Here is a 22,029-nt window from a genome sequence, read left to right on the forward strand (position 1 = left end):
AGGTGGAGGTTGCAGTGAGCCAAGATTGCACCACTGCACTCCATCCCGGGTGACAGACTGAGACTGAGATTCTGTCACCAAAAAAAAAAAAAAAAAAAAAAAAATTAAGCATCATACAGCCGGGTGCAGTAGCTGCTCATCCTGTGATCCCAGCCCTTTGGGAGGCCAAGGAGGAAGGATCGCTTGAGGCCAGGAGTTCAAGACCAGCCTGGGTAACAGAGCAGGGCCCCATATCTACAAAAAATAAAATTAGCTGAAAGCGCCTTTGCAAAAGTTCTATCAGTGAGAAAAAAAAATTTTTTTTTTTTGAGACGGAGTCTCGCTCTGTCGCCCAGGCTGGAGTGCAGTGGCACAATCTCGGCTCACTGCAACCTCCGCCTCCCGGGTTCAAGCGATTCTGCTGCCTCAGCCTCCCAAATAGCTGGGACTACAGGCACGCGCCACCATGCCCAGCTAAGTTTTGTATTTTTAGTAGAGATGGGGTTTCACCATGTTGGCCAGGATGGTCTCGATCTCATGACCTCGTGATCCGCCCGCCTTGGCCTCCCAAAGTGCTGGAATTACAGGCGTGAGCCACCACGTCCAGCCGAGAAAATTATAACAGTAGGCTAAACTAACTAACCCCCATCTTGCCTTAATTATTCCTGGGCTATTGGGCCCAGCTAACTTGGGAAGACATTTAGGCTACAGTTTAAGTGATAGTAGACCTTGCACAAAACCCAACAGCTTTTGTCAAGCTAACCTGAGGCCTTCAGGTTGAGGGAGGAGGGGAGCCTGACATCTGTTAAGGTGCAAACGTTATTCTGGAGGTTATAAGATATGCAGCTTCCAGGCCAGGTGCGGCGGCTCACGCCTGTAATCCCAGCACTTTGGGAGGCCAAGGCGGGTGGATCACTTGAGGCCAGGAGTTCAAGACCAGCCTGGCCAACATGGTGCAACCCCATCTGTACTAAAAATACAAAAATTAACCAGGCTTGGTAGCCCATGCCTGTAGTCCCAAATACTTGGGAGGCTGAGGCAGGAGAATCGCTTGAACCTGGGAGGCAGAGGTTGCAGTGAGCCGAGATCTCACCACTGCACTCCAGCCTGGGCGACAAAGCGAAACTCAGCATGCAAAAAAACAAAAAAAAAACAAAAAAAAAACAAAAAAAAAGAGATGTGGTTCCCCCAATTACTCCTGCAAATAACACCATTATTGTAGTTTGGCCTTTTGAGATGTCTTTCCACGTGTTTTGCATGTCTGACACCCGTGGCTCCACCTGGACTGACAACCCTGCTCCTGAGGTTCCACACAGAAGCGATCTGGCCGGCAGGAGGACCCCTGCAACCTGCTGTGAGTCCATCTCTGCCCCCAACCAACCAGCAGCAAGCACCTGTTTACCTGGCCCACTCCCACTCCTTCCCACAAAACTGCCCTTGAAAAACCCCTAACCTAGGCTGGGCGTGGAGGCTCACGCCTGGAATCTCAGCACTTTGGGAGGCTGAGGTGAACGGATCACCTGAGGTTAGGAGTTCGAGACCAGCTTGGCCAACATGGTGAAACTCCATCTCCACCAAAAAAAAAAAAAAAAAAATTAGCTGGATGTGGTGGCGTGCACCTGTAATCCCAGCTATTCAGAAGGCTGAGGCGGGAGAACCTCCTGAACCCAGGAGGCAGAGGTTGCGAATTGCTTGAACCCAGGAGGCAGAGGTTGCAGTGAGCTGAGGTGGCGCCACTGCACCCCAGCCTTGGTGACAGAGCGAGACTCGTCGCAATAAAGAAAAACCTCTAACCTATGAGGTTTGAACAAGTTGATTTATGAATTCCATCTCCCACGTGGCGTGGCCAGCCTCATGTCTATTAAACTCTTTCTCTACTACAATGCTGTGGTCTCTTTCTCTTTCGTTGTTTCCTTTCTTTTCTTTTTTTTTTTTTTGAGACAGTCTCACCCTGTTGCCCAGGCTGGAGTGCAGTGGCTCAATCTCAGCTCACTGCAATCTCCGCCTCCCGGGTTCAAGCGATTCTCCTGCCTCAGCCTCCCGAATAGCTGGGATTACAGGCGCCCGCCACCACTATGCTCGGCTAATTTTGTATTTTTAGTAGAGACGGGGTTTCTCCATGTTGGCCAGGCTGGTCTCGAACTCCCGACCTCAGGTGATCTGCCCACCTCGGCCTCCCAAAGTGCTGGGATTACAGGTGTGAACCACCGCGCCCAGCCTCTATTTTTTTTTTTTTTTTAAGTAAAATACTTTGTTAGACTGGGGGTCTCCCTATGTTGCCCAGGCTGGTCTCAAACTCCTGGACTCAAGGAATCCTCCCACTTTGGCCTCCCAAAGTGCTGGGATTACAGGCGTGAGCCCCTGCACCCAGTCACGTGGTCTTTCTTTATGCAGTGGGCAGGAAGAACCCCTGCATAGCGGGGTGTGGTGGCCCATGCCTGCAATCCCAGCTATTTGGGAGGCTGAGATGGGAAGATTCCTTAAGTCAGGAGTTCAAGGCTGCAGTGAGCTGCGATGTCACTGCATTCAAGCCTGGGCAATAGAGCGAAGCCCATCTCTAAGAAAAAAAAAAAAAAAAAAATTAACCACCCTGGGGGATCACTGGAGCCAGGCCCGAAGCTGCCCACCATGCTAGCATTGTCTGCAATGCCTGCTGCCGGGGGTTCCAGCTGTTCCGATGTCTGTGAGCAAGTGTGTAAGTTGTAAAATACTCAGTGCAAGGCGAATGATTCCTGTCCATTGTGTAGCAAGAAATTTTGCCTCGACCAGAGAGAGATCTGGCTTTTGTTTCAGCCACTGGGAGGTGACTCTTAGGCCCCAGGAATGTCCTGCCTGATGGATATACCGTTCTGTTTTTTTTTTTTTTTTGAGACAGAGTCAGAGTCTCACTCTGTCTCCCAGGCTGGAGTGCAGTGGTGCGATCTCAGCTCACTGCAAGCTCCGTCTCCCGGGTTCAAGCGATTCTCGTGCCTCAGCCTCTCGGAGTAGCTGGGATTACAGGCGCCTTCCGCCACACCCAGCTAATTTTTGCATTTTTAGGAGAGAGGGGGTTTCACCATGTGGGCCAGGCTGGTCTCGAACTCCTGACCTCAAGTGATCCATTCGCCTTGGCCTCCCAAAGTGTTGGGATTACAGGTGTGAGTCACCGCGTCCGGCATTCGAGTGGCTTTCGAGGTCACTACAGTAGGGGAGGTGTACGGAGCACTTTCTATGCCAAGCCCATTCTAGGTCCTTGTTTTGGGTAAACATTTCCACAACCTGACTTTTCCCATGAAAAGAGGGAGTTTCAGGGAGGCTAAGCCACCAACCCAAGGACACACAGCTGATGACGGCTGCAGGTGGGATTTGAACCAGGCAAACGTGACCTCAGACAGAGCCTCTCCTTCTCCCTCTCTCTGCGAGGCATAGTCCCAGACCTGCCAGCCTCTTGCTGTGCACAGTTTCCCTGCCCCTCCCCTGCCACTGTCCTCAGAATTTCCCAAATGTGCCTCAGCCTTCGCCGTAGCCTCCGCTGCCACCTGGCGTGGTGATCCCACCTCCTCCCACCCCAGGCCTGTCTTACAAATGTCTGCAAGTTCAAATGATGACTCAGCTCCATCCCGAAACCTCTCCTTGGGGACAGGAGTCATGTCTTGCTCGTTTTGTTCATCTTTGCAGAAAAACATGATGTCAGAGCCCAGCCGCTGCCAATCACTTCCTGGCTACATCCGGAGTGACACGCAGACCCCTCCCCGCAGCCCCCAAAGCCCGTCTCTGTGAGCTCATCTTCCCGGCTCTCCCTCTTGCTTACTCTGTTCCACCCCCAGGGCCTCCTTGGGATTCCTCAAATGCAACAGGTGAGGTCCTGCGTCAGGGCCTTTTCAAACACTGTGCCTGCTGCCTGGGACCTCTGCCCCCAGAGCCCCTTGAACCTGACTTTTTACCGTTTTTTTTTTTTGAGACAGAGTCCTGCTCTGTTGTCCAGGTGGGGTGCAGTGGCATGATCTCGGCTCACTGCAATGTCTACCTCCCAGGCTCAAGTGAGTCTCCTGACTCGGCCTCCTGAGTAGCTGGGATTACAGGCATCTGCCACCACGCCTGGCCAACTTTTTGTATTTTTAGTAGAGACGGGGTTTCGCCATGTTGTCCGGGCTAGTCTCGAACTCCTGACCTCAAGTGATCTGCCCTCCTTGGCCTTCCAAAGTGCTGGGATCACAGGCATGAGCCACTGCACCCAGCCCGCCCCCACTTTTTTTTTTCTTTTTGAGGCAGGGCCTTGTTTTGTCGCCCAGGCTGGAGTGCAGTGGTGCGATCATAGCTCACTGCAGCCTCAAACTCCTGGGCTCAAGTGATCCTCCTGCTTTAGCCTCCCGAGTAGTTGGGACTACAGGTGTGCCCATCAGACCTGGCTAATTTTTAAAAAATTATTTGTGGCTGCGTGCGGTAGCTCACACCTGTAATCCCAGCACTTTGGGAACTCGAGGCGGGTGGATCATGAGGTCAGGAGTACGAAACCAACCTGGCCAAGATGTGAAACCCCATCTCTACTAAAAATTAGCCGGGCGCAGTGTAATCCCAGCTACTTGGGAGGCTGAGGCAGAAGAATCACTTGAACTCGGGAGGCAGAGGTTGCAGTGAGCTGAGATTGTGCCACTGCACTCCAGCCTGGGAGACAGAGAGAGACTTCGTCTCAAAAAAAAAAAAAAAAAAAAAGGCCAGGCGTGGTGGGTAACACCTGTAATCCCAGCATTTTGGGAGGCCGAGGTGGGCGGATCACGAGGTCAGGAGATCGAGACCATCCTGGCTAACACGGTGAAACCCCATCTCTACTAAAAATACAAACAATTAGCCGGGCGAGGTGGCGGGCGCCTGTAGTCCCAGCTACTCTGGAGGCTGAGGCAGGAGAATGGCGTGAACCTGGGAGGCGGAGCTTGCAGTAGCCGAGATCACACCACTGCACTCCTGGGTGACAGAGCCTGGGTGACAGAGCGAGACTCCGTCTCAAAAAAAAAATTATTTGTAGAGATGGGAGTCTTGCCAGGTTGCCCAGGCTGGTCTCGAACTCCTGAGCTCAAGCGATCCTCCCCACTTGGCCCCCAAGGGGCTGAGATTACAGGCATGAGTCTACCCTTAGAGACAGAGGCTGCACGAAGTCATGATCACACCACTGCACTCCAGCCTGGGCAATACAGGGAGACCTTGTCTCAAAAAAGAAAAAGAGAAAGGAACTAATCTCATTAGAAGACTCCACTCTCATGAGCTCATCTGACCCTAATCACTTCAAAGCCCCCCCGCAACACCGTGCCCAGCCTGCAGTACGTTTTTTTATTTTTTATTTTTATTTACTTATTTTTTTGAGATGGAGTCTTGCTCTGTCACCCAGGCTGGAGTGCAGTAGCGCGATCTCGGTTCACTGCAAGCTCCACCTCCTGGGTTCACACCATTCTCCTGCCTCAGCCTCCTGAGTAGCTGGCACTACAGGCGCCCGCCACCACGCCCGGCTAATTTTTTGTATTTTTAGTAGAGACAGGGTTTCACTGTGTTAGCTGGGATGGTCTCGATCTCCTGACCTCGTGATCTGCCCACCTCAGCCTCCCAAAGTGCTGGGATTACAGGCGTGAGCCACCACACCCGGCCACATTTTTTTTTTAACTCTGAATGAATGCAAAAACCTCTATGCTGGATAAAATTTTAAAAATTTATTTTGTTTAAAGCCAAATACGGTGACTCACGCCTGTAATTCCAACACTTTGGGAGGCCGAGGCAGGCAGATCATTTGAGGTCAGGAGTTCGAGATCAGCCTGGCCAACATGGCAAAACCCTGTCTCTACTAAAAATACAAAAAATTAGCTAGGTGTGGTGGAGGGCGCCTGTAGTCCTAGCTACTTGAGAAGCTGAGGCAGGAGAGTCACTTGAACCCAGGAGGTGGAGGTTGCAGTGAGCTGAGATTGCGCCACTGCACTCCAGTCTGGGTGACAGAGCGAGATTCTGTCTAAAAAAAAAAAAAAAAAAAAAGATTATGACAGGATTACTCATACTGATTATTCCTCTCACCTCAGGCTCCAAGATGGCCTCGGCGACACTGTTATTGATCTCATTTTTTATTTTATTTTATTTTTAGACACAGGGTCTCCCTCTGTTGCCCAGGCTGGAGTGCAGCGACACAATCATAGCTCACTGCAGCCTCAAACTCCCAGGCTCAAGTGATCCTCCCACCTCAGCCTCTCACGTAGCTGGGACTACAGGTGCGCACCACCACGGTCGGCTAATTTTTAAAATTTTTGTAGAGATGGGGTCTCCCTATGTTGCCCAGGCTGGTCTCAAACTCCTGGGCTCAAGCAATCCTCCTGCCTCGGCCTCCAAAAGTGCTGGGATTACAGAGGTGAGTTCTGGCGCCCAGCCCAAAGATAATAGCACACATTTCCTGAGTGCTTACCTGATTCTGGGAATTTCCTCCTTCAATGCCTGTGATGAAGCCTTTGTGTGACTGTTCCCATCTTACAGAGAAAGAAACTGAGGCTGGAGCTCATTTTCTTTTTTTTTTTTTTTTTGAGAAAGAGTCTCACTCTTGTTGTCCAGGCTGGAGTGCAGTGGCACGATCTCGGCTCATTGCAACCTCCACCTCCCGAGTTCAAGCGATTCTCCTGCCTCAGCCTCCTGAGTAGCTGGGACTACAGGCATGCGCCACCATGCCTGGCTAATTTTTATATTTTTAGTAGAGATGGAGTTTCACCATGCTGGCCAGGCTGGTCTTGAACTCCTGACCTCGGGTGATCCACCCGCCTCGGCCTCCCAACATGCTGGGATTACAGGCATGAGCCACCACGCCTGGCCCGGCTGGAGCTCATTTTCTGAGCTCAAAGGCACAGAGCTCAGAGTCTCTTGAAGATATTCCAAGATACTCCAGATATTCTAAGATGCCTGGAGCCAGGGCTGGAAAAAGGAGGCACAGGTGGGCTTGGGGTCTAGAAAGAGAAGCCTGGAGGGTGGAGGACCATGGGGGTCCAGGCAGTCAGTCTGGGAGAAAACAAGGCCAAGTCAGTGTTGACAGAGGAGTAGGGTTTTCCTGCTGAAGACCAGAGGAAGACAGCATCCCAGGCGGAGGAAACAGCTGACAAAGGCTGGGCCTCTCGCAGAGGAGGTTGTTATGGCTGGCACGGGGGACACACGGAAGAAGGACTTGGACACATATTCTCTGAGGCCCTGCTTTGCTCGCCTTATTTTATTTATTTTATTTGCTTTATTTTTGACACAGTGTCTCGCTCTGTCTCCCAGGCTGGAATGCAGTGGTGCAATCTCGGCTCACTGCAACCTCCACCTCCCGGGTTCAAGCGATTCTCCTGCCTCAGCCTCCCGAGTAGCTGGGATTATAGGCATGTGCCACCATGCCCAGGTAATTTTTGTATTTTTTGTAGAGACGGGGTTTCACCATGTTGGCCAGGTTGGTTTTGAACTCCTGACCCCAGATGATCCACCTGCCTCAGCCTCCCAAAGTGCTGGGATTACAGGCATGAGCCACCGTGCCCAGCCCTTATTTTATTTATTTATTTGAGACGGGGTCTCACTCTGTTGCCCAGGCTGGAATGCAACTGTGCAATCCCGGCTCACTGCAGCCAGGAACCCCTGGGCTCAAGTGATCCTCCTGTCTCAGCCTCCGGAGTAGCTGGGTGCACACAACACACCCCATTCTTTCTTTCTTTTTTTTTTTTTTAAAGACTGAGTCTCACTCTGTCACTCAGGCTGGAGTGCAGTGGCACGATCTCGGCTCACTGCAATCTCGGCTTACTGCAACCTCTGCCTCCCAAGTTCAAGCAATTCTCCTGCCTCAGCCCCCAGAGTAGCTGGGATTACAGGCATGTGCCACCACGCCCGACTGATTTTGTATTTTTAGTAGAGATGGGGTTTCTCCAGGTTGGTCAGGCTGGTCTTGAATTCCCAGCCTCAGGTGATCCTCCTGCCTCAGACTCCCCAAGTGCTGGGATTACAGGAGTGAGCTACCGTGCCCGGCCTTTTTGTTTGTTTGTTTGTTTGTTTGTTTGTTTTGGGGAGGATGGAGTCTCTCTCTGTCACCATGCCATGTGCAGTGGCATGATCTCGGCTCACTGCAACCTCCACCTCCTGGGTTCAAGTGATACTCCTGCCTCAGCCTCCTGAGTAAGCTGGGATTACAGGCGCGTGCCACCACGCCCAGCTAATTTTTGTGTTTTTAGTAGAGACAGGGTTTCACCATGTTGGTCAGGCTGGTCTCGAACTGACCTCACGATCTGCCCGCCTCAGCCTCCTAATGTGCTGGGATTACCCAGCCTGCAATACTTTTTAAAAATCAAAATCAATGCCCAAGTATCCATGAGGAACAAAATATCAAAATTGTAAATAAAGACAGAATCTGACTTTGCACTTATCCCACCCACCTCCCTGATCTTCCTTATCTTCAGCTCATGTTGGCCATGTTGGTCAGGTTGGTCTCGAACTCCTGACCTCAGTTGATCCGCCCGCCTCGGACTCCCAAAGTGCTGGGATTACAGGCGTAAGCCACCGCGCCCGGCCGATTTAACTTTTAAATTGAAATTATAAAATATAAATATGTATGTTGCATGCGTAAAACATTGCATAAAGTTACATAAAACGTTGCAACCGCCACGGTCCCCTTATCCCCCGCCTCCAGCCCAGTGCCCCGCCCGTCCGTCCCTCTCTTCCGGCGCTGAGGGCGCAGAAACTCGGCGCGGCCACCAGATGGCGCCACCGCGCCTCGCAGCCCCGGGACATTTCGTGCCCCAGCGGTGGGCGGCGCGGAGGAGGTGGGATGCGTCAGCCGGACCCGCGGGCCGGGGAGCCGGGCAACTGGGGAAAGTGAGCCGCCGGGCGGAGGCCAGACCCCAGGCTGGCGGGGGAGGGGACTCAGATGTGAGTCACCCGGGAGCCCCCAGTCGACCGTGGGAGACGTTGTCATGCGGGGCCTGCCAGCCTCGCTCCTGAACAGCCTTCCCGGGGCGGCGGAGTCCTGCAGGCGGCCGTGCCTGGCGCACACGCGTGGCTCCAACACGAACTAGCCTATGGCCTCACCAAGCCTCAGTTTCCCCTTTTGCATAATGCACATAAGCATCCCCCCTGCTTCCCAGGTCTTGGATTAAATCATCCATGAATCCGGAGGGGTGGGGGGTACCAGGTCCGCACCACGCACTCAATGCAGGTCAGCGCCCACCCCGGAGTGAGAAATAAAAGTAGCCGTCATCCTTGCACGTGGGCCCTGGGTGGCGGCGTGCAGCCGGAGCCTGCACCATTCCCCTCAACAATGGCTTTCTCCAGGGCCTGGAGGCCTCCGCACGGGCAAAGGCTGGAACGCCAGGCAGCCGGCGGGGGCGGGGCCGCGCCACCTGCACCTCCCACGCGCACCCCACCCTGATACTCGCGGGGTCGGCGAGGAGGCGCCCACTTTCTTCTCCAGAGCGCCCCGGGCTTTGCAACCTCCCACTTTCGGGGCCCTCGAGGAGGCCTCCCGCGACCACCAGGTGACAGCTGATGTGTATTGGGCTCTTACTGTCAGCCGTATTTTATGCCATGCTCTGCAAACCAGCGAGGCCGGCGCTGCAGACCCATTACTCAGACGGGAACAGAGAGGCCGGGAGAAGCGAAATCACCCAGGGGCTGGGGTCGTCGCAGCCAGGAGAGACTCCGGCCCTCACCACCACCTGGGCGAGATCACGCTGCAAACGGGGCCCCTTCCCGGTGCAGCCCCTCCACCCCCAGCAGAACTTGGGAAAGGCGCGGTCCGGGACTCTCCGCGGATCGGGAGGGGATTCCAGGCCCCCCCGAAAGTCCGGGCCGCCTCGCGCGCTGGAAATCCCGCGCGCGCCCCGAACCGCGGCTCGGCTGCCGGGAAATCAGGAGAAAAAAACTTCTGCTTTTTTTTCTTTTCTGGCATTCGCGGTCACCTACCCGGCCCCCGCGCGCCCTCCTCCCGGTTCTCGCCCCCACGTGGGGCGCCCCCGCACGCCGCTCCTCCCCCTCCCCTCCGTCGGCCAACCGCAGAGCTAGCTGCACTCGCCCTTGTCTTTCCACCAATAGGAGGGGCGAATGACTCCACTGAGGCCACGCCCAATGTTCAAGTCTATAAAAGTCGGTGCCGGAGGCTCCCAGCTCAGATCGCCGAAGCGTCGGACTACCGTTGGTTTCCGCAACTTCCTGGATTATCCTCGCCAAGGACTTTGCAATATATTTTTCCGCCTTTTCTGGAAGGATTTCGCTGCTTCCCGAAGGTCTTGGACGAGCGCTCTAGCTCTGTGGGAAGGTTTTGGGCTCTCTGGCTCGGATTTTGCAATTTCTCCCTGGGGACTGCCGTGGAGCCGCATCCACTGTGGATTATAATTGCAACATGACGCTGGAAGAGCTCGTGGCGTGCGACAACGCGGCGCAGAAGTAAGTAGCCGGGGCTGCCGCCGCCTGAGGTCAGCCGGGACGGGATGGGTCGGGTTGGGCCGGGCCGGGAGCGGAACGTAGCACCCGGTGGTCCGCCCGTCACTGATCCCTCTTTCCTGGTCTCAGGATGCAGACGGTGACCGCCGCGGTGGAGGAGCTTTTGGTGGCCGCTCAGCGCCAGGATCGCCTCACAGTGGGGGTGTACGAGTCGGCCAAGTTGATGAATGTGTGAGTCAGACCCCCTTCCCGGGCTGGGCGCGGGTGGGACGGGACCTCCCCTCCGCTCTGGACGCTTTCCGCACGCTTGTCTTGCATGGAGCTGGGACTTCCCCAAGTGCCCCCCGCTGTGGATGCAGAGCTTCTCTGCCGTTTTGTGGATCGGGGGCTGCCGTATCCTGATGTATCGTCTGCAAACACCCCTCCCGCCGTGGGCCTGTCTCCCCCTACCCCATACTTTGAACCGTGTGCCCTCCCCTCCCCCCACCGTCACCAGCTTGCAGAGGCAATCCCCTGCACCCTTGCAGTTTCTCTTTTGCTCTTGCACGCTCCTTTTTTGCAAACTCCCCCTGCACGGTGGCCCCTCCCCTGTCCCCGGCTGACCCATCCCTACCCTTTGGCCCCCTCAGGGACCCAGACAGCGTGGTCCTCTGCCTCTTGGCCATTGACGAGGAGGAGGAGGATGACATCGCCCTGCAAATCCACTTCACGCTCATCCAGTCCTTCTGCTGTGACAACGACATCAACATCGTGCGGGTGTCGGGCATGCAGCGCCTGGCGCAGCTCCTGGGAGAGCCGGCCGAGACCCAGGGCACCACCGAGGCCCGAGACCTGCATTGTCTCCTGGTCACGGTGAGTCGGGCCTCTGCCCTGCCCCGCCACGCCCGGGCACCTGGGCCGGTGTTTGTCAACAAAGTCGGGCTGACTGGTCCTGCACAGCTCAGCGCTCAGCCACGTTTGGCATGTCCCGTGGGCAGCCGGGCTGGGGCCTCCTCACCCAGGAAGCTATTTTGAGCCTGACTGTTTTCCCCACACAGGGGCCCCGGGAGAGGGAGGCTCCACTAAACCCCTTCTTTTCCCTCCTACAGAACCCTCACACGGACGCCTGGAAGAGCCACGGCTTGGTGGAGGTGGCCAGCTACTGCGAAGAAAGCCGGGGCAACAACCAGTGGGTCCCCTACATCTCTCTTCAGGAACGCTGAGGCCCTTCCCAGCAGCAGAATCTGTTGAGTTGCTGCCACAAACAAAAAATACAATAAATATTTGAACCCCCTCCCCCCCAGCACAACCCCCCCAAAACAACCCAACCCACGAGGACCATCGGGGGCAGAGTCGTTGGAGACTGAAGAGGAAGAGGAGGAGGAGAAGGGGAGTGAGCGGCCGCCCCCAGGGCGGAGATCCAGGAGCTGGCGGCCGCCGATCCGATGGAGAAGGGGGGACCCAGGCCAGCAGGAGACAGGACCCCCGAAGCTGAGGCCTTGGGATGGAGCAGAAGCCGGAGTGGCGGGGCACGCTGCCGCCTTCCCCATCACGGAGGGTCCAGACTGTCCACTCGGGGGTGGAGTGAGACTGACTGCAAGCCCCACCCTCCTTGAGACTGGAGCTGGCGTCTGCATACGAGAGACTTGGTTGAACTTGGTTGGTCCTTGTCTGCACCCTCGACAAGACCACACTTTGGGACTTGGGAGCTGGGGCTGAAGTTGCTCTGTACCCATGAACTCCCAGTTTGCGAATTATAGAGACAATCTATTTTGTTACTTGCACTTGTTATTCGAACCACTGAGAGCGAGATGGGAAGCATAGATATCTATATTTTTATTTCTACTATGAGGGCCTTGTAATAAATTTCTAAAGCCTCTGGTTGCTTGTATGTTTTCGGCTTCTAGAACAACTAGGACCCCTGCCCCCTCCCCGGGGACACGCTTCACCCCCCACAACCCCCGCCAGCTCACCAGGAAGTGTTACTTAAGCCCCTGTTAGCAGCTCCAGGCTCCCGTGCAGAAACAGTACCCCTTCTCTCCGCAGCAGGCGCCGCCACCGACTCCAACAAATCTATGCCTCTTTTTTTTTTTCCTTCTCCTCCTACCCTGCAGCAATTAAGAGACCGGTTTATTACGAAACCTGGCCGCCGTGCCACCACTGTTACTGGCTGTGCAGGAGCCAACCCCAAGCTCTGGGCACATATGGAGGCATTTCAGCGGGAGGGGGTGCTGGCTGCAGCCCCTGACCGCCTAGGCGGCCACCGCAGCCCAAGGTCCGGATCGGTCAAGGGGGCACCTGGTACCACACAGCGAGGTGAGCTCAGGGCTTGCAAGGAAGAGCGCTTTTGGAGGCTTCCCCAGGGAGTGCCCCCCCAGCCCACCACAGCCTTCTCCATCCCAGGATAGGCCTCTCTTTTGCACTAAAGAAAAAAACTTTTTTTATTTCCGCAAACTAAAATCAACAAGCAGAAAAATACCCCAGGAAGTCGGCCTCCGGGCCAGCCGGGCTTGGCGCAGTGCTGCGTTTTGCCTGTAAACCGAAACTGCGAGCCCTGGCCAGCCACCTCCTACTTCTCCCAAAGTTGCAGGCGCGGTGGTGACTCCCCCTGCCCCGGGCTGGGAGCGTGGCCCAGCCCTTCCGTGCCCGGCCTCAGTCTTCCCGCCCCGGGTCTGCAGAGTGGGCCCGCCCTGGCCAGGCGCCGGGACGACCTCGGTTCCCCTCTGCCCTGCAGCCCCCAAGCCTGGGAACTAGGGGGGAGTGGGGAGGGGGTGGGGTGGTCCTGCCCGCAGGCCGCGACCTTTCCACGGAGCCTCACGTGGGCGCATGAGGAAAACCCCAGCGGCTCCCTAGGAGTCACGGGGATCGGGGGAGCCCCGACGGGGGAGGGAGAGAGAGAAGGAGGGGGAAGTCCCAGAGGGAGAAGCGGGGAGGGGAGAGGATCCCGCCTGGGGCTAGGAGGAGGGGAGAACTGAAGTGGGGAGAGGGGAGCCCAAGAAGGGGAAGGGGAATCCCCCACAGCCCTGAACCAACAGGGAAACCCCGGGAGGGGGGTAGACAGGTAGGAGTCCCGAAGGGGTTGGGGGAGGGGAGAATGGAGGCGAAGAGGCGGGAGCCCCGAGGGGGTAGGGGGTGATGGAGTGGGGATCCCTGAGATGGAGCCCAAGAGGGGAGGGCACCTGGGAAGAGTGACAGAGGGCGAGGGGCTCTTGAGGGATTGGGGTGCGGGAGAACATGTGGGGCCAAAACCCAAGGGGGCTCCAGGTGGGGAAGGACCAGGTGGGGCAAGGGTGCGCCTAGCGGCGGCCTGGAAAAGCTCTGGCTTTTCTTTTTCTTTCTTTTGAGACAGTCTCACTCCATCGCCCAGGCTGGAGTGCAGTGGCACGATCTCGCCTCCCTGCAGCCTCCACCTCCTGGGTTCAAGCGATTCTCCTGAGTAGCTGGGACCACAAGGACCCACTACCACACCCACTAGTTTTTGTATTTTTAGTAGAGATGGGGTTTCACCATGTTGGCCAGACTGGTCTCAAACTCCTGACCTCACGCCCGACTTGGCCTGCAAAATGCTGAGATTACAGGTCTGAGCCACCGCTCCCAGTCTCTGGCTCTTCGTTGGTCAACCTCGTAGGGTAGGGAGGCGAGGCCAGCTCGGAGGGCTATGCCCCCGGGGATCGGATGGTCTGTCTCCATCCGGATTGTTCCATTCTTGCTCCTCGGTCTCTAGAACTGTGCAGCAGGATCTCAGGCTCCTGAGCCCCAAGTGGAGACAGGGCATGGAGGGGCCCCAGTGGTGGGACCCTCAGCCAGGACCTTCACCTGTCTGTGCCTCAGTTTCTCCCTCTGAAAAATGGGGGATAATGCTACCTAGCTCATAGATTGTTGAGGAGGTTAAATGATATATAGATTCCTGGGCCGGCCCTGTGGCTCACTCTCTGTAATCCCAAGACTTTGGGAGGCTTGGGGGAGGTGGGGAGGAATCCCTGAACCCAGGAGTTTGAGACCAGCATGGGCAAACATAGAGAGATCCAGATCTCTACAAAAAAATTTAAAAATTAGCTGGGCATGGTGGTGTGGGCCTGTGGTCCCAGCTACTTGGGAGCCTGAGGCGGGAGGAGCACTTGAGCCCTGAAGATTGAGGCTGCAGTGAGCTGTGATGGCACCACCACACTCCAGCCTGGGTGACAGAGTGAGACCCTGTCTCAAAACAAACAAACAAACAAACAACAGACCCTGAAATATAGATTCCTTGACCGGCTTCCTTCAATGTACTTCCAGAATCATGGTTTTTTTTCCCCAATTTTTAAAAGATCATTCATTTAAAAATTTTAGATTTAGCTGGGCGTGGTGGCTTATGCCTGTTATGGTTTGAATTGTCTTCCCCACAAAAGATGTGGAAGGCTGGGCGCAGTGGCTCACGCCTGTAATCCCAGGACTGTGGGAGGCCGAGGTGGGCGGATCATGTGAGGTCAAGAGTTCGAGACCAGCCTGGCCAAGAGGGTGAAACCCTGTCTCTACTAAAAATACGAAAGTTAGCTGGGTGTGGTGGCGTGCACCTGTAGTCCCAGCTACTCGGGAGGCTGAGGCAGGAGAATGGCGTGAACCCGGGAGGCGGAGCTTGCAGTGAGCTGAGATTGCGCCACTGCACTCCAGCCTGGGCGACAGAGAGAGACTCCATCTCAAAAAAAAGAAAAAAAAGAAAAGAAATAGGGTCTCACTATATTACCCAGTCTGGTCTCAAATTCCTGGCCTTAAGTGATCCTCCAGCCACGGCCTCCCACAGTGTTGGGATTACAGGCGGGAGCCACCGCGCCCGGCCCTCTCCTATTGTTAGTACTCTTGCAGTTGTTATTGTTGTTGTCATTTATGAAAGTATTCCACGGTCTCCCTGACCGAAGCCAGGGAAGTACAGGAACTGGCTTTGAAGGATGCTGTTTCATTGAATTAATAATAGCAGCTAGGTTGATTCAGTCTTCTCTGGGACTCAACTGTAAACACCTATAAACTTACTGTGGCCCCGTGAGGAAGATGCTGTTGTCCCATCTTCCCAAAGAAGAGACTGAGGCTCAGAATGGAGGAGCCACAGCCTGGCTAGGAGTCTTGAATTGTCGGTGTCTGGCTGGTCAGTCTCTGGGGAAAACTCTGGGTTGAGAGGACCCGGGGGATGCAACACCCCCAGCTCCCCAGACCCCTTCAAGTTCACGCTGGGTCAGGAAGGAGTAGTCACAGGGCACCAAGCCTCAGTCAGCTGGCACGGGCCGTTCTGGGCTCCCACACTCAGGACTGGATGCCAGGATACATGTGTGTATTCCTTGGACGACGGTGAGTGGAAGAGTTGGCAGTGCCCACCGCAGGTTGCAGGCAGACACGCTTCCCAGGCCGGACTCGTGAAGTTGGGTGCGTGCTCACCCCAGGGTGCCCACGATGGCCTGTGTCTGAACCTACACTCACAGGCTGAAACGCATACACACGCTCACACCCCGCTATGCAGTCATATTCACAGCTGGAGACATGGACATGTTCACACGCACGCACACACATACTGCATGCCACGGACACAGAGTCGCCTGCAAGAGGACACATGAGTCCATAGAAATGCCTCCCATGGCCGGGTGTGGTGGCTCACACCTGTAACCCCAGTACTTTGGGAGGCCAAGGAGGGTGGATCATCTGAGGTCAGGAGTTTGAGACCAGCCTGGCCAACATGGTGCAACCCTGTCTCTACTAAAAATACAAAAAAATTAGCCAGGCGTGGTGGTGGATGTCTGTAATCCCAACTACTTGGGAGGCTGAGACAGAAGAATCGCTTGAACCCAGGAGGTGGAGGTTGCAGTGAGCTGAGATTGTGCCACTGCACTCCAGCCTGGGTGAGAGAGAGAGACTCCATCTCTCAGATGATCCACCTGCCTCAGCCTCCCAAAGTTCTGGGATTACAGGTGTGAACCACTTCACTCGGCCTTATTTTTTAATTTTTTTTCCTTTGAGACAGGGTCTCACTCAGTTGTCCAGGCTGGAATGCAGTGCTGCGATCTTGGCTCACTGTAACCTCTGCCTCCTCAGCTCAAACGATCCTCCCACCTCAGCCTCCTGAGTAGCTGGGGTTACAGACGTGTGCCACCACGCCCAGCCATTGTTGTTTTTTGAGACAGTGTCTCCCTCTGTCATCCAGGCTGAAGTGCAGTGATGTGGTCATAGCTCGCTGCAGCCTCAACCTGCTGGGCTCCAGTGATCCTCCTGCCTTGGCCTCCCAAAATGGTGGGAGCCACACGCCCAGCCACTATCTGCTTTTTATAGAAAGAGAATGTGGAGTTCAGATAGGTGCAGTGACTTGTCCAAAGTCACAAGGTACAATGGCAGAGCCAGGAACCAAACCAAGGCCAGCGTGGCTCAAAGTACTGTTTTTTCAGACACACGCATGCACACACACACACACACATGCACACACGCATGCACACACACACATGCACACACACGCACACACACGTACACACACATACACAGACATGCACACATGTACACACACATACACAGTATATATACTGTATATATGTACACATATATAGTACGTATACACACTATATATAAATATAATGATATATATTATTGAGATATAGTTCATATACCATAAATTCACCCCTTTAAAGTCTTTAACTAAGTGGTTTTTAGTATATTCACAAAATTGTGCAACCATCACCACTATTGAATTCCAGAATATTTTCATCACCCCCAAAAGAAGCCCTGTCACCATTAGCAGTCACTCTTCACGCCCCCTCCCCCAACCCCTGACAACCGCTACTCCACATTTTTTCCATGAATTCACCTGTTCTGGACATTTCATATAAATGAAATCATAAAATGTGCAACCTTTTGTGTCTGGCTTCTTTTGCTTGCACACTGTTTTGGGGGCTCATCCATGATGTTGTATGTATCGGTATCAAAGTTTGAACATACTGGATGCAGTGGCGGAGGCCTGTAATCCCAGTACTTTGGAAAACTGAGGCAGGAGGATTGCTTGAGCCCAGGAGTTCGAGACCAGCCTGGGCAACATGGCAAGACCTCGTTTCTAAAAAAAAACAAAAACAAAAACAAAAATTAAGCCAGGTGTGGTGGTGCATGCCTGTAATCTTAGCTACTGGGGAGGCTAAGGTGGGAGGATTGCTTAAGCCTGGGAGGCTGGAGCTGCAGTGAGCTGTGATCACACCACTGCACTCCAGCCTGGGCAACAGAGTGAGACCCTGCCTCAAAACACAAAAGATTTGAACTTGTGTGGCCTGCCCTGTGCCTCTGCTCCCCAGAACATGTGCCTGGGAATCCCAGCAGTATACTAGCACCCTCACGTGTGGACGGCCATCCCTGGGAAGGCACTCAGAGTCACACACACAATTCGTATTTAGTGACCAGCCACTATGTGTGGGCCTTGCACATGCAAATCCTCAACCCACATGTTGTTTATACACCTGGCTCTCTAACATCCAACCAGGGCCTGTGCTGATGCCTCTGGCCAGAACACTCTTCCCTACCTTTCTCCTAGTTAACACCTACTCTCCTTTTGCTCACATCTCAGATGCCACCTCCTCCAGGAAGCCCTCCAAACAAGACCTGGAATGACCTCTGTACTATCTCTGCCCACCTGCCCTTCTTGGTACTTGCACCATTTATTTGTTTGTTTGTTTTTTGAGACAGAGTCTTGCTCTGCCCAGCCCCTGCACCCATTTGTAATGACATATTTATAATCCTGTTATTTGCTTCTTGTCTATCTTCTGCGTGAAGCTGCAGACTCCCAGAGGGAGGGGAGAAGGTCTGTTTTTCTCACCCCCAGATCCCTAGTGGCTAGCCCAGAACCTGGGACACAGGCGGCACTTCATAAATGCTTATGGCATAAAGACTCAGTCAAGTCTGTATGATGAGAGGTTGAACTGCTGATGACCTTCTGTGTCCATGCTCCAGCACAGACAGTTTCGGCCCTAAGGGACACACGTTGATCTGCCAGGTGCTGGGTCCTGGCCAGGTAGAGTGACACCTCTCAGCTCAGGAAGGCTGGAACCTGGCTCTGTGGAGGAGGCCAGCCGCGTGGCCTCGGGCAAGTTGCTTCACCTCTTTGCATTCAGTTTTCTTGTTGGTGCAATGGGGATGCCAATGGTGGTGCCCATCTCTCTCGGGGCTGTTGTGAACATTAAATTAATTACATTATGCAAAGCATTTAGAACGGGGAGAAGCTTGCAGAAAAGTTAGCTATTATTAGTGAGCTAGTACACCATACAATGCTTTCTGCCTGTACATGAATATCTGCATAGCTGCCTGTTAATGTGAGTTGGAATTTGTCTCTGAATCTCTGCACACCGCGGTGTGTTGGGCCATGAGGACTTGTGCTGCTATGTGGGAACACAGCAATATACGTACACGTGTGGCTGTTGCTACAATTCTTGGCATCCTTGGAGTGAGCCCTGGACACCCAGAACTCCTGACCAACTGGGGACTCGTGATTGCACCTTCCTCATCACCCCAAATAGGAGGTCCATAGCTGCTGATGCTGCTCACCTCTCCCCCAGAGTGGCCCCAGGGCACGACCTCTGTGGCTGGTGGTTTGGAGGTCTATTTATTATTTTTTGAGACAGTCTCACTGTGTTGCCCAGGCTGTAGTGCAGTGGCATGATCATAGCTCACTGCAGCTCAAGCAATTCTCCCACCTCAACCTCCCAAGCAGCTGGGATTACAGGTGCCTGCCACCACGCCTGGCTAATTTTTGTATTTTTAGTAAAGACAGGGTTGCGCCATGGTGGCCAAGCTGGTCTCAAACTCCTGACCTCAAGTGATCCACCTGCCTTGGCCTCCCAAAGTGCTGGGATTACAGATGTGAGTCACCGAGCCCTGCCATTTTTTATTTTTATTTTTCTAAGAGATGGGGTCTTCCTCTGTCACCCAGGCTGGAGTGCAGTGGTGCTGTCACAGTTCACTGCAGCCTCGACCTCCCAGACTCAAGCAATCCTCCCACCTCAGTCTCCCCAGCCTCCCAAGTAGCGGGAACTATAGGCAAGTACCACCATGACTGGCTAGGGTTTCACTATGTTGCCTAGGCTGGTCTCGAACTCCTGGCCTCAGGTGATGTCCCCATCTCAGCCTCCCAAAGTGCTGGGGTTACAGGCCTGAGCCATCACACCCTGCCTGACTCATTCAATATTTATTTAGCCCCTACTGTGTGCGAGGGCCTGTGTTAGGCTTAGAAAAACAAGAGAGAACGAGATAAAGAGAGGCATCTGTGTGTATGGGTGTGTGGGTGTCTGTTGCGTGTTGAGTATGAATTCTCATTCACGTTTCCAGCATGCGTGGCCGGAAAGACTTGGGTGGGTGTTTTTGTGTGAGGATGTTATGGTTTGAATTGTGTCCTCCACAAAAGATGTGGAAGGCTGGGCATGGTAACTCACGCTTGTAATCTCAACACTTTGGGAGGCCAAGGCAGGAGAATCTCTTGAGGCCAGGAGTTCGAGACCAGTCTGGGCAACAGAGAGAGACCTTGATTCTACAAAAAATAAAAAAAGATATGGCCGGGCACAGTGGTTCACGCCTGTAATCCCAGCACTTTGGGAGGTCGAGGTGGGCGGATCACAAAGTCAAGAGATTGAGACCATCCTGGCCAACACAGTGAAACCCTGTCTCTACTAAAAATACAAAATTTAGCTGAGTGTGGTGGAGTGCACCTGTAGTCCCAGTTACTCGAGAGGTTGAGGCAAGAGAGTTGCTTGAACCCGGTAGGCAGAGGCTGCAGTGAGCTGAGATCGCGCCACTGCACTCCAGCCTGTCGACAGAGCAAGACTCCATCTAAATAAAAAAAAAAAAGATATTAGCCTGGCATGGTGGCATGTCTCAAAAAACACTGAAGGAATCAAAGCACACACCCAGGGCCACCTGGTCTCAGACACACAGATGTGTGCATTTGCATATCAACCCCCTATTCATGGGTGAACGTGCATCTGCAATGACGCAGTCCAGAGCACAGAAGGAAAGAGACGATGGTGCCTCCCTGAAGAGGTCCCTGCTGTGGGCATCTGGGGCTGAGCCCCGTAGGGAACTGTGAGAGGTGTGGTCACAATGGGGCAAGACAGCCAGTGGGGGCATCTACTTATTTTATTTTATTTTATTTTATTTTATTTTATTTTATTTTATTTTATTTTTGAGACGGAGTCTCACTCTGTCGCCCGGGCTGGAGTGCAGTGGCGCGATCTCGGCTCATTGCAAGCTCCGCCTCCCGGGTTCACGCCATTCTCCTGCCTCAGCCTCCCGAGTAGCTGGGACTACAGGCGCCCGTCACCACGCCCGGCTAATTTTTTAATATTTTTTAGTAGAGACGGGGTTTCACCATGTTAGCCAGGATGGTCTCGATCTCCTGACCTTGTGATCCGCCTGTGTCGGCCTCCCAAAGTGCTGGGATTACAGGCGTGAGCCACCGCGCCCGGCTATTTTATTTTGAGGCACAGTTTTGCTCTTGTTGCCCAGGCTGGAGTGCAGTGGCACGATCTCAGCTCACTCAGGTTCAACCGATTCTCCTGCCTCAGCCTCCCAAATAGCTGGGATTACAGGTGCGTGCCACCTTGCCCGGCTAATTTTTTGTATTTTTAGTAGAGATGGGGTTTCGCCATGTTGGCCAGGCTGGTCTCGAACTCCTGACCATGTGATCTGCCTGCCTCGGCCTCCCAAAGTGCTAGATTACAAGTGTGAGCCACCGTGCCCGGCTGGCATCTACTTATTAACCAACTGCATCCCCCGTTTGAGGGGTGTTCTGGGGTGTTGACTCCCTGGTACTTCCTGCCTACCCAGAGGGGGTTCTCGGTGAGTGTCTGTACGCAGGTGGGTGCCTGCACACAGTAGGTGCTGCATGTCTCTGGGTGTCTGCACACAGTAGGCATGGCACGCAGGTGGGGCTCTGCACACAGTAGGCCTTGCGTGCAATAAAGACGCTGCACACAGCAGGTGTTTGCATGAAGGAGAGGGGCTGCACGCAGTAGGTTTGCACACTGTTAGAGAAAGACCCCAGGCAAAGGGACACGGGAAGCCGTTGGACTGTAGGAAATTGTCGGAAGCCAGCTCCCAGGTGGCCAAGGGGACATAGCAGCATCTGCCATGCCCTTTTGTGCACTTTAAGCACTGGTTCTCAGACTTCAGGGTGCATTGGCAACCCCCTGGGTACCCCCCTTTTTTTTTTTTTAAATAGAGACAGGATCTCCCTATGTTGCCCAGGCTGGTCTGGAACTCCTGGGCTCAAAGGATCCTCCTGCCTCCCAAAATGCGAGGATTACAGGTGTGAGCCACCATGGCCGGCCCCTGGGTACACTTTCAATGTGGTGGGTTGGATGTTGTGGCAGGGGACCCTAAACCGGGTCTCCCCTTTTCTAGGACACAGCAGAAGGAATGCAGAGGCTTCCTGAGCCGTCACTCTTCCTTACTTTCTCCCGGGACCCCCTTCTCTCTGCAGACCACCGCCAAGAGCCCAGCCCTCAGAGCCCCAGAACTCCCTGCAGCTTCCCAGCTCTAGGCCTTGGCCCCTGTGATCTCCACCTCGTGGTCGGGGCAGTGCCCAGCCAGGGCTCCGGGGAGGCGAGGGAGGAACCAGGGTGGGTCTCCTTGGAGGAAGCAGAGAGTCACGGAGTCTTGCAGAGAGAGGCTCAGAGCCCTGCACGTCACTTTCTC

The 22,029-nt window shown here is 54.3% G+C and overlaps 1 protein-coding gene across 1 annotated transcript, besides 19 other annotated features; it reads left to right on the plus strand.

Annotated features, from left to right (window-relative positions):
• Nucleotides 3,523–3,622: an enhancer, noted in NCBI's record as "active region_13686". NCBI's record gives its function as "activates an Ori minimal core promoter by ATAC-STARR-seq in GM12878 lymphoblastoid cells {active_cell/tissue: GM12878}" and the evidence as "EXISTENCE:reporter gene assay evidence [ECO:0000049][PMID:35858748]".
• Nucleotides 8,740–8,879: a silencer, noted in NCBI's record as "silent region_9794". NCBI's record gives its function as "represses an Ori minimal core promoter by ATAC-STARR-seq in GM12878 lymphoblastoid cells {active_cell/tissue: GM12878}" and the evidence as "EXISTENCE:reporter gene assay evidence [ECO:0000049][PMID:35858748]".
• Nucleotides 9,250–9,359: a silencer, noted in NCBI's record as "silent region_9795". NCBI's record gives its function as "represses an Ori minimal core promoter by ATAC-STARR-seq in GM12878 lymphoblastoid cells {active_cell/tissue: GM12878}" and the evidence as "EXISTENCE:reporter gene assay evidence [ECO:0000049][PMID:35858748]".
• GADD45B (growth arrest and DNA damage inducible beta) lies at nt 10,099–12,229 on the plus strand. Its single transcript, NM_015675.4, has 4 exons — nt 10,099–10,374; nt 10,501–10,602; nt 11,001–11,223; nt 11,460–12,229. The coding sequence occupies exons 1-4, from the start codon at nt 10,331–10,333 to the stop codon at nt 11,571–11,573; spliced, it is 483 nt and encodes a 160-aa protein (NP_056490.2). The 5' UTR covers nt 10,099–10,330; the 3' UTR covers nt 11,574–12,229.
• Nucleotides 10,100–10,169: an enhancer, noted in NCBI's record as "active region_13687". NCBI's record gives its function as "activates an Ori minimal core promoter by ATAC-STARR-seq in GM12878 lymphoblastoid cells {active_cell/tissue: GM12878}" and the evidence as "EXISTENCE:reporter gene assay evidence [ECO:0000049][PMID:35858748]".
• Nucleotides 10,171–10,758: an enhancer, noted in NCBI's record as "H3K27ac-H3K4me1 hESC enhancer chr19:2476197-2476784 (GRCh37/hg19 assembly coordinates)". NCBI's record gives its function as "activates a minimal SCP1, AML or CMV promoter by ChIP-STARR-seq in naive H9 embryonic stem cells {active_cell/tissue: H9 hESC(naive)}" and the evidence as "EXISTENCE:reporter gene assay evidence [ECO:0000049][PMID:30033119]".
• Nucleotides 10,740–10,829: an enhancer, noted in NCBI's record as "active region_13688". NCBI's record gives its function as "activates an Ori minimal core promoter by ATAC-STARR-seq in GM12878 lymphoblastoid cells {active_cell/tissue: GM12878}" and the evidence as "EXISTENCE:reporter gene assay evidence [ECO:0000049][PMID:35858748]".
• Nucleotides 10,740–11,348: a biological region, named in NCBI's record as "H3K27ac-H3K4me1 hESC enhancer GRCh37_chr19:2476785-2477374".
• Nucleotides 10,759–11,348: an enhancer, noted in NCBI's record as "H3K27ac-H3K4me1 hESC enhancer chr19:2476785-2477374 (GRCh37/hg19 assembly coordinates)". NCBI's record gives its function as "activates a minimal SCP1, AML or CMV promoter by ChIP-STARR-seq in primed H9 embryonic stem cells {active_cell/tissue: H9 hESC(primed)}" and the evidence as "EXISTENCE:reporter gene assay evidence [ECO:0000049][PMID:30033119]".
• Nucleotides 10,990–11,099: an enhancer, noted in NCBI's record as "active region_13689". NCBI's record gives its function as "activates an Ori minimal core promoter by ATAC-STARR-seq in GM12878 lymphoblastoid cells {active_cell/tissue: GM12878}" and the evidence as "EXISTENCE:reporter gene assay evidence [ECO:0000049][PMID:35858748]".
• Nucleotides 11,110–11,269: an enhancer, noted in NCBI's record as "active region_13690". NCBI's record gives its function as "activates an Ori minimal core promoter by ATAC-STARR-seq in GM12878 lymphoblastoid cells {active_cell/tissue: GM12878}" and the evidence as "EXISTENCE:reporter gene assay evidence [ECO:0000049][PMID:35858748]".
• Nucleotides 11,340–11,399: an enhancer, noted in NCBI's record as "active region_13691". NCBI's record gives its function as "activates an Ori minimal core promoter by ATAC-STARR-seq in GM12878 lymphoblastoid cells {active_cell/tissue: GM12878}" and the evidence as "EXISTENCE:reporter gene assay evidence [ECO:0000049][PMID:35858748]".
• Nucleotides 11,420–11,489: an enhancer, noted in NCBI's record as "active region_13692". NCBI's record gives its function as "activates an Ori minimal core promoter by ATAC-STARR-seq in GM12878 lymphoblastoid cells {active_cell/tissue: GM12878}" and the evidence as "EXISTENCE:reporter gene assay evidence [ECO:0000049][PMID:35858748]".
• Nucleotides 12,300–12,349: an enhancer, noted in NCBI's record as "active region_13693". NCBI's record gives its function as "activates an Ori minimal core promoter by ATAC-STARR-seq in GM12878 lymphoblastoid cells {active_cell/tissue: GM12878}" and the evidence as "EXISTENCE:reporter gene assay evidence [ECO:0000049][PMID:35858748]".
• Nucleotides 12,740–12,849: an enhancer, noted in NCBI's record as "active region_13694". NCBI's record gives its function as "activates an Ori minimal core promoter by ATAC-STARR-seq in GM12878 lymphoblastoid cells {active_cell/tissue: GM12878}" and the evidence as "EXISTENCE:reporter gene assay evidence [ECO:0000049][PMID:35858748]".
• Nucleotides 12,920–13,499: a silencer, noted in NCBI's record as "silent region_9796". NCBI's record gives its function as "represses an Ori minimal core promoter by ATAC-STARR-seq in GM12878 lymphoblastoid cells {active_cell/tissue: GM12878}" and the evidence as "EXISTENCE:reporter gene assay evidence [ECO:0000049][PMID:35858748]".
• Nucleotides 12,920–13,914: a biological region, named in NCBI's record as "H3K4me1 hESC enhancer GRCh37_chr19:2479439-2479940".
• Nucleotides 13,413–13,914: an enhancer, noted in NCBI's record as "H3K4me1 hESC enhancer chr19:2479439-2479940 (GRCh37/hg19 assembly coordinates)". NCBI's record gives its function as "activates a minimal SCP1, AML or CMV promoter by ChIP-STARR-seq in primed H9 embryonic stem cells {active_cell/tissue: H9 hESC(primed)}" and the evidence as "EXISTENCE:reporter gene assay evidence [ECO:0000049][PMID:30033119]".
• Nucleotides 13,770–13,829: an enhancer, noted in NCBI's record as "active region_13695". NCBI's record gives its function as "activates an Ori minimal core promoter by ATAC-STARR-seq in GM12878 lymphoblastoid cells {active_cell/tissue: GM12878}" and the evidence as "EXISTENCE:reporter gene assay evidence [ECO:0000049][PMID:35858748]".
• Nucleotides 13,915–14,414: an enhancer, noted in NCBI's record as "H3K4me1 hESC enhancer chr19:2479941-2480440 (GRCh37/hg19 assembly coordinates)". NCBI's record gives its function as "activates a minimal SCP1, AML or CMV promoter by ChIP-STARR-seq in primed H9 embryonic stem cells {active_cell/tissue: H9 hESC(primed)}" and the evidence as "EXISTENCE:reporter gene assay evidence [ECO:0000049][PMID:30033119]".

Source organism: Homo sapiens, chromosome 19 (assembly GCF_000001405.40).
Source record: "Homo sapiens chromosome 19, GRCh38.p14 Primary Assembly".
NCBI lineage: Eukaryota > Metazoa > Chordata > Mammalia > Primates > Hominidae > Homo > Homo sapiens.